Raw genomic sequence first — 13,199 nt, forward strand, 5'->3', positions numbered from 1 at the left:
TATATGAGTGACCATGGCCCATGACACAGCCCCAGGAGATCCTGAGAGCATGTGCCCGAGGTGGTGGGGCTACAGCTTGCTTTTATAGGAGAGGTGGGAGGGGCTTCCATGTCATAGGTGGATTCAAAGATTCAAAGATTTTTCTGATTGGCCAGTGGTTGAAAGAGTTTATCTAAGGAAGGAAGTGTCTGGGTTAAGATAAGATATTGTGGAGACCAAGGTTCTTATTATGCAGATAAAGCCTCCAGGTAACAGGCTGCAGAGAGAATAGATTGTAAATATTTCTTATCAGACTTATAAAAGGTGCCTGATTCTTAGTTAATTCTCTCCTGGATCAGGAAAAAGACATGTCAAGGGAAAGAGATTTTCCACACAAGAGACAGCTTTGCAGGGCCATTTCAAAATATGTCAAATAAATATATTTTGGGAGTAAAGTACTTTGATTTCTTTCAGGGCCTACTAGCTGTCATTTTGGCATTTTATGGGTTTGAAGAATCTGCTTTGTTAGTCTTAAGTTCTCTCTATTTTAATGTTAATGCTGGTCAGCTGAATTCCAAAGGCACAAAGGTATAATGGGTCATGTTAGACCACCCATTCCCATTGTAGCCTGAACTAGTGTTTCAGGTTTATTTTGGAATGCCCTTGGCTGAGAAGAGGCATTCATTTAGTTGGTTCCGGGACCTAGAATTTTTATTTTTGGTTTATAACTGTGTCTTTCTACTTGTTGCTCCTATTTGATGGGCCATACTTCACTATGCTTCTTTTGCTCATTAAGTTCAAAGTACTCTTCATTTTAGTTGTTTTAATGTTATTGACTCCTACTTTGATCATTTCTTCCTGTCAGATCTTCAGTATTTCCACCACATCATCTTTCTATCACATCCTAACTCTCCTACTCCCTTCCCTTCAGTGATTGCCAGGACACACAACAGTATAATAAAATCAGAGGTCAAGAGAGTATGTTTAATTCATTTGTATTGGTTTTCATGGAATCAATTCATGCTCATGTATTTTAAATTAAATATATACAATTTCCAAGCTTGCTTTTCATTTTCTTTTTCTTTTTCTTTTTCCTCCTTCACTATTACTGACCTAGATTCCATGCACCAGATGTGTTCACCTGGAACTCAGATTAAAAGGAAGAATGTTCACTCCCTGCTCCTTTTGTGCCTCAGGTCACAATCTGGAGAATTCCTCTACAGAGAGAAAGGCTGGAAAACATATTTCTAATTCTTAGAAGGAGGTAATTAAATAATTTCCTTTTATGATACTGTCTTTGTTCTCGTCTTGAAAGGAAAGAGCATCCCCTTTATCACTTTAAACAGGGCAAACTAGTATTTCTAACCATCCTCCCAAAGTTAATTAACATGTAAATACTTGTCAGTAAAAGGTAACACTTCAGCAATTAGCATATAAATGGGCCAGGGACAATATTCTGCCATAAAGGAGACAGCTTGGAAGATTTTGCCAAATGTATTTGGAGAGAAAAAAATATAAAATAAAATACAGGCTTCATCATTTTCATGCAAACAGTTATGAACTAGAATGTCAGCTGAAGCCTGTGGTAAAAGGAGAACTACCCTGCTTAGATTGAATGAGGTGAAGTTTGCATACACAACAGGGTTTTATGTACATGTTTACTCAAGTAGCGATGACGGAAAGTGACTAATTGTTTATGTCCAGAAAAACACATCACGTTTGTTTGATTTTAATGAATACCATCAGCGAAGGAAGCAGAAAGCCATAGGTGCAAAAAGAATTGAAGGGCTAATTTTTCCATATTGGCTGTAATGATTAGTACACTCACAAAATTGCACATGCAGGGAATGCTTCTACTCAGCCCTGAATTTGTGTTTCAAATGAGGTAATTGTGCACCTAATGATCCGTTTGCACAAGCAATTACCTGATTGGCATATGCCAGGTGAGCTTGTGAGAGATAATAGGACAAATGTACTTTTTTTTGGCTTTGCATCCATGATATCCTAGTTTGAAAAACAAAATAATTATAGTCATATTACATTTGTGACATTTTTATTGGAATCATGGGTCCATGTGTGAATGGGATGCTCATGCTGATGAATGAAAGATCATTAGCCCAAGATGAAAATAAACTCTGACCACCCTACCAAAGATACTTGTTATTTTATATTTATTGTTAAAACTACAACATAGATAAGTTTATGGGGGGTGTCTCAGAATTTCTAATCAGAAAACTTGGCTTAAAATCGCATGTAGCTACTATGTCAATTCCAGATAGCCAAGCTTAGGCAAGTCACCTAAAAATGCCAAACCATGGTTCTTCAAAATGGAGAGAATAATTTTGTTTATATGGAAACTTGAGCTGGTTATTACTCATTGCATCCTGCATTAGAAGTGTCAACATTAAGTCTTATTGATGCCTACGCCAGGTCCAGGTGAACCCTAGGAAACATCTGTTAGTGTTGGTCTGCTCAGCATCTCGTCATCTCCTTCACTTGGCAGGGCTGAAAATCTGGACCCCACCCCTCTCACTACCAGGTGACAGGTGATCCAACTAGATTGAAGTCATCCTTGACAGACAGGGTCAGGCTCAACCACAGTTTTCCTACCTTTTTCCAGACCTAAAAAAGTCCCTTCAGGCTATGTCAGAGTCCACGGGTGGGGTCAAAACTGGATACATCTTGTACATTTGAAAAGTAAGCATGTTTTCAGAGCACTTTAGCCTCGGCAGTGTGAATACTGTAGGACGGTGGAAAGGATCTGCACGTAAGCCTCAACCTACCCAGAAGCTGGCCATTTTCTCCCTGCACCCTAGAAAGTCAAGTGGGCCAGTAGAACTTTCTATAATGATGGAAATATCCCATAATCTGTACTGTGCAATATGTTAGCCATTAGCCACATGTGGCTGTTTAACACTTGAAGTGTAGCTAATGGTAAGGAGGACTCAGGAACTGAATTTTTAATTTTATTCAATTTTAATGAATTTAATTTAACTTTAAAGAGCCACATGAGGCTTATGGCTACCATGTTGAACAATGTAGCAAGGAAAAAACAGTTTATCAAGTAACAACTCCATACTATGACTGTGAATGTCAGCTACTGTCCACAGTTCTTTACTCCTACCCTTTAAAAATATATAATGCCAATCCTCCTTTTCCATAGCATCTTTGACACTTTTTTAGCCATTTCTTTGCCTATTCCTGGTCATCATCGATAAGGTAAAAAAGCACAAGGATCTAAGACTGAAATAATTACTCTTATTAGAATCCATCCTAAAACCAAACCAAAACAAAACAAAGAAAGAAACAGAAAGGCAGAGCTTGTCTAAGGCTTTTGGTGCCTGCAACCTAATTGTTGATGACTATTAGAGATGAGACTCTCATCTAATTGAGATGGAATGTTAATGAATCAGAGTTTGTGACCTAACTAGGTATCTAAAATCCTGTATCCTAAAACTCATGCCTAACTTGACTGGGCTTTGAAAGCATGGATAAAATAATAATAATAAAATTAATATAGAAACAATAATAGTGAATAATAATTTATTATGTTTCAAGCACTGCTCTAAGATCATGGTTTATGTAATTTATTCTTCACGACAGCCTTAGGAGATGGTTGTTATTGTTTTTCTTATTTCACTGATTGAAGAACTGAGACTTCTAAAGGCCACCTTACTTGTCCAATGTCATAGCAAGAACATGTGGCAGAGCTGAGGTTCAAAGCCAGACCAGTCTGGCACCAGAGCCTACTGCCATAACCACTGTGTGATGTGGTCTTGAACCACATCAAGGTTAAGGATATTCCCGCAAAATTATCAAAACGTTTTAGGTTTTATAGAAAAGCAAGAGTTTCCATGCTAGACAACTACTCTGCTGATGAACCAATATCAGTGAGTCTGAAACTAGGTAAACTGTTTTATGCACAATTTAAGAGACTATTGAGACAGAGGAGTATCTGGAATGGCCTCTCTCTAAGGCAACAAGGATCTCACTTCTTCCTAAAGAGCTGAAATGAACCACTGAGTCTGGTTTTGTGTGACGGTTTCTTCCCTGAAATGAACAGTTCAGGATCATCTCAAGGACAGGAACACATTTATGCTTTAGTCCATCTAGGGTGAGGACCCGAGACCTATCGTGCCCCGTGACGGCCTCTGCTGACTGGTTTTTTCTTTGAGGCTTGCAATGCTGCCTACATTAGGCTAGGTTTTGGCAAGTGATTTATAGTACTGTTTGAGATTGCCATTCTTACTCAGGTGTAAAAAAAGTGGTGAGATTGTCTCAGAATTGAAAAATGGCAATCTAGTCCAAAATATAAATAATTGGAATTCTGGCTTCCAAAACTAGGTATGTGAAACAGAGGTGGGAGGTGGAAAGTAGGATGCGGCAATTTTCTCTGATGATACTAAAACCTTCAGACACACACACACACACACACACACACACACAGCCCTATGTATAAGACCAGGGCACTAATATTCATTAAGCTACCCTGCACCTACCTCTCTGCCTATAAAACTTAAGATCAAGTAACCCTTGAATATTGTCTCCCTTGAATCTAGCCATGCTGTAGCTGTTAACAAGAAATTTTAGAGCTACTTTCAAAAAAATATAAAAGAACTTATTTGTAGATTTAGAAAAAAAAAATAAGTGTAAAATACAGCCACAAATAGGGCTATTGGAGACAACTGAAAATACTAATTTTCCTGGATAATTCTACATAGCAGGACATGATCATATCCAATTAAGTTGAGCTCTGTTCAATAATCACTGTGTAATGGGATAGAATCACAGAGTAATAGGATTTGTTTAAGGCAAGGACAGAGGAGCTTAATACCTATTAGATACCTTAAAAGCATTAAGAATGAAAAAGACCAATTGATACGAAACAGTTTACAGGAACCTAAAGAAAATGCAAATAGCTCTATGGTTTCTCTGAAGAGTCTTAGTTGACATTTACAAACTTTGTTGCTCAGTAATTTTCAGCGCTAACTTATCTGAAAATAGTTAGAATCAAAAAGAAGAGCTCAATATAAAGACATAAACTTTTTCTTAAAAGATCACTGACCCTGGCAGATCAAAGTCTGCTCTGGAGTAGACAGGACAAGATCTTGGAAGGTCATGATGGCCCTGAACATATTGTTTGGCTTCTCAGATAGAGAACGTTCAAAAGGAACTGTGAATGCCTTGTCACGCTTGAACTATATATTAGTTGGCTAAGCTGAGAATCAAATATGGGAAATTAGTTGCCATTAAAAGATCGCTTCAGGCAGTTCATTTCTCATCAGCCAAGCTGTGCAGGCCTCCTGCTGGGGACAGTGAACATTAGCTTACTAAATACTTCAGCTCATCAGACGCTGCTTTACTCATGGATGGGCCTGGATTTTGGTGATGGGGGAAGGGGAAGAGGAAAGAATGGATATAAAACGTAACTACCAGCATCTGTCTGGGTAGAGATTAATTCTCTATGCTATTAAAAATATAATTGTTCATTGACATGTACAGATATTCACAACTTATTGTTAAAAGGAAAACAAACTGGTTCTAAAACCATTTTTATATGATGCTGTTTTCAGGGGGAGTGTATGTATTTAACCTGGAAGAATGAACCGCAACATCTTTACAGTGGTGAGTTTGGGGAGGTGTTTTTGGGTAAGTGTTTTTAGGATGACTTTTTATAATTTGTTTTATTCACATATATTTTAAATACATTTAAAATTATATTATTTTCAATAATTATAATTTTATAATAAACATCTGGTAGTAAATATAATACTAGACATTAAACAGAAGATTATGCCTATTTCACTTTCTTCTCCTTGAAATGTTTTATTTCCTTTGGAGGAACACTCATCCTGCATGTCACAGGTGGTCAAACCAGAGCAACTTCATCTCTTCATCTTGAATAGGAGCTGGATAAAAGGAGGATGGGACCTGCTGCACTGCATTCCCAGGAGGTTAGGCATTCTTAGTCAAAAGAGGGGATAGGAGGTCACAAGATACAGATCACAAAAAATCTGCTGATAAAACAGGATGCAATAAAGAAGCCAACCAAACCCATCAAATGCAAGATGGTGATGAAAGTGACCTCTGGTTGTCCTCACTGCCCGTTATAATGCGTTAGCATGCTAAAAGACACTCCCACCAGTGCAAAGGCAGGTTACAAATGCCATGACAATGTCCAGAAGTTACCTTATGTGGTCTAAAGGAAGAGAAACCTTCAGTTTCAGGAAATCCCCACCCTTTTCCCAGAAAACTCATGAATAATCCACCTCTTGAATTATTGGCAGAATATGGTCAATAAATAAACCATAAAACTAGCCAATCAGCAGCCCTAGGGCTGCTCTGTCTATGGAGTAGCCATTCTTTTATTTCCTTACTTTCTCTTTTTTTTTTTTTTTTTTTAATACAGAGTCTTGCTCTGTTGCCCAGGCTGGAGTGTAGTGGCGTGATATCGGCTTGCTGCAACCTCTGCCTCCCAGGTTCTAGTGATTCTCCTGCTTCAACCTCCTGAGTAGCTGAAATTACAGAGGACTGTCACTATGCCTGGCTAATTTTTGTATTTTTAGTAGACATAGGGTTTTACCATGTTGGCCACGCTGGTCTCGAACTCCTAACCTCAAGTGATCTATCCACCTCGGCATCCTAAAGTACTGAGAATACAGACATGAGCCACTGCACCTGGCCATTATTCCTTTACTTTCTTAATAATCTTGCTTTCACTTTACTCTGTGGACTCACCCTGAATTCTTCCTTGCATGTCATCCAAGAACCCTCTCTTGGGGTCTGGATTGGGACCCCTTTCTGGTAACATGAGGGCCTTCCAAATGCTTGAAGGAAAAAATTCCAGAGTGAGTATAAATGAATTGTGAAAAGAAGCTATACTTTATCTTAGGGCCTACCCTGTTCTAGCAGCTCTAGAATTATGCTGCATAGGACAGCCCTAAAACTCGGCACCCAGAGTCGCCCGACATTATCACCGGGCTTTCTCTGTCCTGAGAGTTTGCACAGACTCACCTTTGTTCTCCCAGTGAAATAAATTATGTGCTCCAAAATAGAGGGATGTGCCTACCTAGAAGTTTGCATTATATATAGGCAAAATAATGAATGGGCTCTGGAGTCAGACACTCTGAATTGGAATCTCAGTTTCACTGCATAATGGCTGAGTAACCTTGGAAAAGCCACTTAGTCATCTCTGGGATTCAAATTCTTTATCTATAAAAGGAAAGAGTAAAACCTATATCATACAATTTCCTTGAGGATTAAATTACGTGTTCGTAAAGCCCGTAAGGGAGGTCATCTCTGAGTTCTGGTTACTCTTACTTTCCCACCTTTTCACTCAGTGAAGCGGCAAGAAGACCATGGATAGGAAAAGGTGCTACAATGGCAGAGTTTTAAACAATGTAGGGTGGAGGAAGTATATGCAGCACGCAAACTTAAGTAGAGAAGAGGGGGTATATAAGAGCAAGTGTCTTTAAAAGTGCAAGTTGTGACTGATGGATACCCAGGCAGTACAGAATCTATTCCTGCAAGATACCCGCCCCCCACCCACTGAGAGGGAGCTTTCCAGAAGTACAAAGCTCTCATGATAGGAGACAGGGGGCCCAGCTTTGCTACCTGACCTACTTAGCCATATGAGCTGGTAAATGTGCCTGGGATTTCAAGCCAATTTTCCTCTCTTCAAAATGGGGATGTCATCTACTTTGTCTCAAAAAGTTGTCATGAGACTCAAAAATTCTTTACAAAGTGGAAAATGCTACTTAACCATTTGTTAGGACTCCGGTTTGCAAGTAAGTGACAGAAACCCAGATCAGATAAGCATAAGCAAAAAGGGAAATTTCTCACAGAGTCAAGTACAGGAACAAAGCTGGGGTCCAGGAACTCCTGGTAAGGTGGCTAACTCAGCCCCTGGTACGGTGGCTAACTCGCTCATTCCTGGCATTAGCACTAAAAGTGCAGGGTCCTGGAAAACCCCTCAGCGCAGGCCAACAGAGAAAGTTGGCCACCATCCCTGGCTTCTGTGACCCTGTGAGTGTCTGATTCATTCCTCTCCCCCTGCTGACCCGCTTCCTCCATTTTCTCTGTCCATATGGTTAGAACCACAGTCAAGGACAGGTTCTAATATCTAATTTTGTTACGGCATGGGCGATTTCATGTTTTATTGCCCACGACACAACTATAGTTTAGAATAATCCCATTTTTAAAAGTCTCATATTTTGCTGTTAGGAAATCATCAAAGTTATAAGCCTGATGTCTGTATTTTTATAAAAGAAGTGTAATTTAGGAACCATTATAGGGAATGAGTTCAGCGAACTCCTCAGATCACTTATTTTCCAATGGAACCACTTAAACATACCCCATTATCTCTGAGAAATCATGAGATGCAGGGAGGGGCCTTGTTTTTAAGGTAGTTTGGGTATTGTCTGCTACCTGGCTTAACAGGAAGTTCTATGAGAGACTCAGGAACTATATGACTCCATGTGGCTATTTTGCTTACTGTGTTAACCCCAGCACTCAAAACCAGCTGGCCAGGTGGATGAACAAACAAGTAAATGAAAATGAAAACATGAGAAAGCTAAATGTTGAGATGTGTGCTACATTCCCTGTAGGTCAGAAACTCAGAGAAGGAAGGGAAGTGTGAGGTGTACTGTACTGGGTGAAGACTCACAGGGGTCGAGAACAGCTATAGCATGGGAAGGGGAGGCTCATTTTTCGTCTTCCTCACTCAGTTTCTGACTCATTGTACTATAAGACAGAGCATAAAGTCCAGTGTATGTAGATAAGGGAATTGGCTTTCACCAGACGGTAGTCCACTAGCATACCCCTCCCCTGTGTTTTGGAATTCACACTCCCCAAGGATATGGAACAATGGCAAGGGAGTCAGGGCTGGGCCTGCTAGGGCTGTTCTCTTCTTGACCACCTCCAAGTTTCTTCTATTTGAATGTGTTCTTTTGAAAACAAAGATGTAGATTTTATGAATGTTTTCCCCAGTTTGCGATTAAACTTAATGAAAAACAACAGGCCGGGCGCCATGGCTCACGCCTGTAGTCCCAACACTTTGGGAGGCGGAGGCGGGCGGATCATCTGAGGTCAGGAGACCGAGACGATCCTGGCTAACACGTGAAACCCCGTCTCTACTAAAATTACAAAAAAAAATTAGCCGGGCGTGGTAGTGGTAGCGGGCGCCTGTAGTTCCAGCTACTCGGGAGGCTGAGGCAGGAAAATGGCACGAACCCGGGAGGCGCAGCTTGCAGTGAGCCGAGATTGCGCCACTGCACTCCAGCCCGGGCCGACAGAGCGAGATTCCGTCTCAAAAAAAAGAAAAAAAACCAACAACAACCAGGCTGAACCTCATTTTCATTTGCTTTCCTAACTCTTTGCCTATTTCCTTGCGGATTCTCCTTCTTTAGCCACCCGGCTCTACCTCGTCTCACACACAGATTTCTACCCGATCCTTCCACTCTGGCAGTCAGCAATGGGCTTTAATTGACACATCATTAAAAAATACTCAGGCACCATCTGAACTGGAATAAGAATAAATTCCAGGCAAAGGGCTCAAGCCAGCCTTCCAGATTTCAGTGTCAGAGAGCCGTCTCAGAGGAGGCAAAGTCATTTTTTCTGTCGTCTTTCTCCAGCATTGCAGCTATTCTAAACAAGCCAAATTGGAATAAACGCTCCATGACACTACTCACCACCTTGTGTTTTCATAGGGGCGGCTGCCTAACAGTTTACACTGAACTATTTAACACTAGCCTATTTGCTCTGACAGCTCTTTTATTACAGATGACCACCCCAGGCCTTGGGAGGTTCATTTTGTCCAATATTGGTTTCATTTGGGTATGATCATTGTGTTCGGAGTTGTTTACTGAGCAGACTGCTGCTAACCTCCTCCTATCGTTGATTGCCTACCAGAAGAAGCAGTCCAGCTCAGTTTCCTGGTTCCAAGAAAGAGAATTCAGCAAGAGGAGGGTCAAATTACCCCAAACTCCAGATCATCTCTATCAACAATGTCATATGTGTCCAGGAAAGAGAAGCTTTATTGTTTGTCTTGCTCTGTTTTCTGAAGCTAAGAAGACAATTGCTTCCTCGCAAACATGGACAGATTAAATACACTACATTCTGTCCTTTTCACCATCTGCTTCTTGCTTATTTTATTTTAAGCTGCATGACTAAACTTTATTATCTGACGGACGGGTGAAGGTGGGCCCTGCTGCTGCTGTGCTCTACTCCTTGAGGCTTGGAATGAATGCAAAGTTGCAGGGCTGATCTGCAAAGGGGTGAGTCAGAAATCAATCGGCCACTGTGCAATTATCACTCGCTGTGTCAAATACCGAGACATTAGCATTCTAAGATTCCTCTTGGCAAGATTCACAGCAGGGGGAAGGGAGTGATGGAAGGGGAACAACAACAAAAATCTTGCTTTGTTTTATTCCTCTAAATATCCATATTTGCATAATATCCCTTCTCTTTGTGCTTCCCTACAAGTGCTGTGAGGAAGATTCTGTTCCCAAGCTCTGTCTCTTAAACTTCTCCTGAACCTCTTGGGGTTTCTAGTCTCCCTACTATCTACCTTTCTTATTTCCCAAAATATGTTAAAGCATTCTATCACCTCTATCACCATAAGCCTGCAGAATCCTCCTTGGAAACTCCTGACAATTCATTTCGAGCCCCATTCATTCTGACTTCTTCTACATTTAATCTGATTTCTAGGACAGGAACGAAGGTAAGGCAAGATAGGCACTCGCCTTGAGTACTCGGGTATAAAATTTAAGAGGACATCAAAATCTCAGTAGCCTAGATTAATATTTCAATGCCATATATTTTAACGTTTTTTAAAATTAAACTTTTATTTTGAGATAATTATTTCATATGCAGTTGCAAGAAAGGATAGAGAAACATTTCCCCACCACTATCCTTTACCCAGTTTCCCCCAGTGGTATGATCCTGTAAAACTAAAGTATCACAACCAGGATATTGACATTGATATAGTCAAGATACAGAACATTTTCATCACTGCAAGTGTTCCTCACATTGCTCTTGTAGTCACATCCCCTTTCCTCTCACCCCCACCACTCTTAGCCCTACACCATCACTAATTTGTTTCTCATTTCTACAATTGTGTCCTGTTGAGAATGTTATCTAAATAGAGTCATACGGTATATAACCTTTGGGATATTTTGGTTGTTTCACTCAGCATAATTCTCTGGAGATTCATCCAGGTTGTCATGTGTATCAATGGTTTGTTCCTTTTGGTTGCTGAGTAGTCTTCCATGGTACGGATGTGCCATAGTTTGCCTGTTCATTCACTTGCTTGAAGACATCTGGATTGTTCCAGTTTAGGGCCATTTACCCATAAAGTGAATATAGTTTTATTTATCTGGGATAAATGCCCAGGAGGGCAATTGTTGGGTCATATGGTTGTTGCATGTTTTCAAGAAACTGCCGGACTTATTTTCCAGAATGTACCATTTTACATTTTATATTTCCACCAGCAATGTAGGAGTGATCCAGTTTCACCATCTTCACTGGCATTTGGCTTTGTCATTATGTTTTTATTTTAGCCATCTTGATAGGTGTGTAATGATATTTTATCGTGATTTTAATTTGCATTTTCCTAATGGCTAATAATGTTTAACGTATTTTCATAAGCTTACTTGCCATCTGTGTGTCCTCTTCAAAAAAAAGTGTCTTTATATCTTTTGCCTATTTCTAATTGGATTGTTTGTTTGTTTACTAGCAAGTTTTTAGAGTTTTTTATGTATTCTAGATACTTGTATTTTGTTGAGTTTGTGTTTTGCAAATGTATGTATGGGTGTGTGTTCACATGTATGTGTTGACCAATTATTTTTTACAATTTTAAAAATATTTTTATGTAACTATAAGGGAAGGGTGAAATGTAAAATATCTAACACTTATGGCATGGAAGTCAACCACCAATCATAATGGATGCTGGCCTTGAATGACAGGTAGGCCTGTTGTTACATGAATCAGCACAAAATCTACCTTACCACTAGAAAACATGTAATCCAGATATAATGCTAAAATGTGCTTTTTGCTTTTACATTATGCACATAGAAACTTCAGAGTTACCTGTTGAAATTTTTGTCTGAATATTCATCAATGTCATTTATAACCGGTTAGCAGGTATTTGTTGCTGGCTATGTTCAAGATGCTCACATACATGTAATTAATTAACTAAATCCTTTCTATACATTGACAGGCATTTCTGAAGGACAGAAAAATGAGAGAAAATCATTAATATTTGCTTCAAAATTAGTATACTTTATTGTAATAATAACAATTATATAATTTGGATATTTGAGGTTTTATTTCCTTATGCAAATATGGATCCCAATGGACAAACTTACTAGGTGACTTCAATAAATCATCTTAACAATCCTGAGAAGTATTAGCATTCCCTTTTTTTCCAGATGGAAGAATTGATTACCTTGAAAATGGCAGAGCCTGAACCAACAGCCATGTTGTTGTTATTGTTTTTACTGTAGATCCTGTCCCATTCATCATGTGTGAAAAGAAGCTCTTTGAAAATGACAAAACTTTATATGAATTGTAGATAATTTTATTTCTATTAAAAATGAAATATTCTTCTGATGAAAATGTCTGAGGAAAGTGGTTTATGGATTATATCTTTGAATAGATCCTCATTTCTAAAAGACAAGTAATCAATTGATTGATAGTTGGTTTTACTTTATTGTTCTTTAATGTCCAAATTCTTTTTAGGCTCCAGGCAGAGCTACAGACTTCACCTTTTTCATGTCGGGATTTTAAATTTTTTTCTAAAGAGTAGTTTCCCTAAACCAACCAGTCTATTGATTTGTTAGTTTTGTAGAACAGCAAATCTCTTGCTCCATAGGCTAATTTATTAGTCTAGTAATAATTAGACTACATCATTAAATATTAGTCTGACATCTAATGTTAGCATTCCCTTTTTTTCAGATGGAAAAATTGATTACCTGGAAATAGTCTAATTATTAGTAGTCTATATCGTTAAGATATTAGTTTAATATTATCAGTATTACTGAGATCAAAAGTCGAATCTGATGTTCTCTATGAAAATTTGGATAAAGGGCAGGACTTCCATTTTAGTCATATTTGAAAAATGAAACCAGGCATGCAATTGGTGCTCTGGAAAAGTTTGTTTGCCCTCCACTAGCGGAACATTTTTCTACAATAATCTTAAGGCTATCTACGTTATTTTATTT

General features: G+C 39.0%; 1 long non-coding RNA gene across 1 annotated transcript in view, besides 1 other annotated feature; it reads left to right on the forward strand.

Moving 5' to 3' along the window:
* Window positions 1,281-1,965: an enhancer, noted in NCBI's record as "NANOG-H3K27ac hESC enhancer chr8:94229866-94230550 (GRCh37/hg19 assembly coordinates)". NCBI's record gives its function as "activates a minimal SCP1, AML or CMV promoter by ChIP-STARR-seq in naive H9 embryonic stem cells {active_cell/tissue: H9 hESC(naive)}" and the evidence as "EXISTENCE:reporter gene assay evidence [ECO:0000049][PMID:30033119]".
* Window positions 9,563-13,199, forward strand: part of LOC105375643 (uncharacterized) — a 40,499-nt gene continuing 36,862 nt past the window's right edge. Inside the window, exon 1 of the long non-coding RNA XR_001746003.2 lies at window positions 9,563-10,253. This is a non-coding gene — a long non-coding RNA (uncharacterized LOC105375643). The remainder of the gene's footprint in view (window positions 10,254-13,199) is intronic.

The sequence above is a fragment of the Homo sapiens genome, chromosome 8 (assembly GCF_000001405.40).
Source record: "Homo sapiens chromosome 8, GRCh38.p14 Primary Assembly".
NCBI classification, from domain to species: Eukaryota; Metazoa; Chordata; class Mammalia; order Primates; family Hominidae; genus Homo; species Homo sapiens.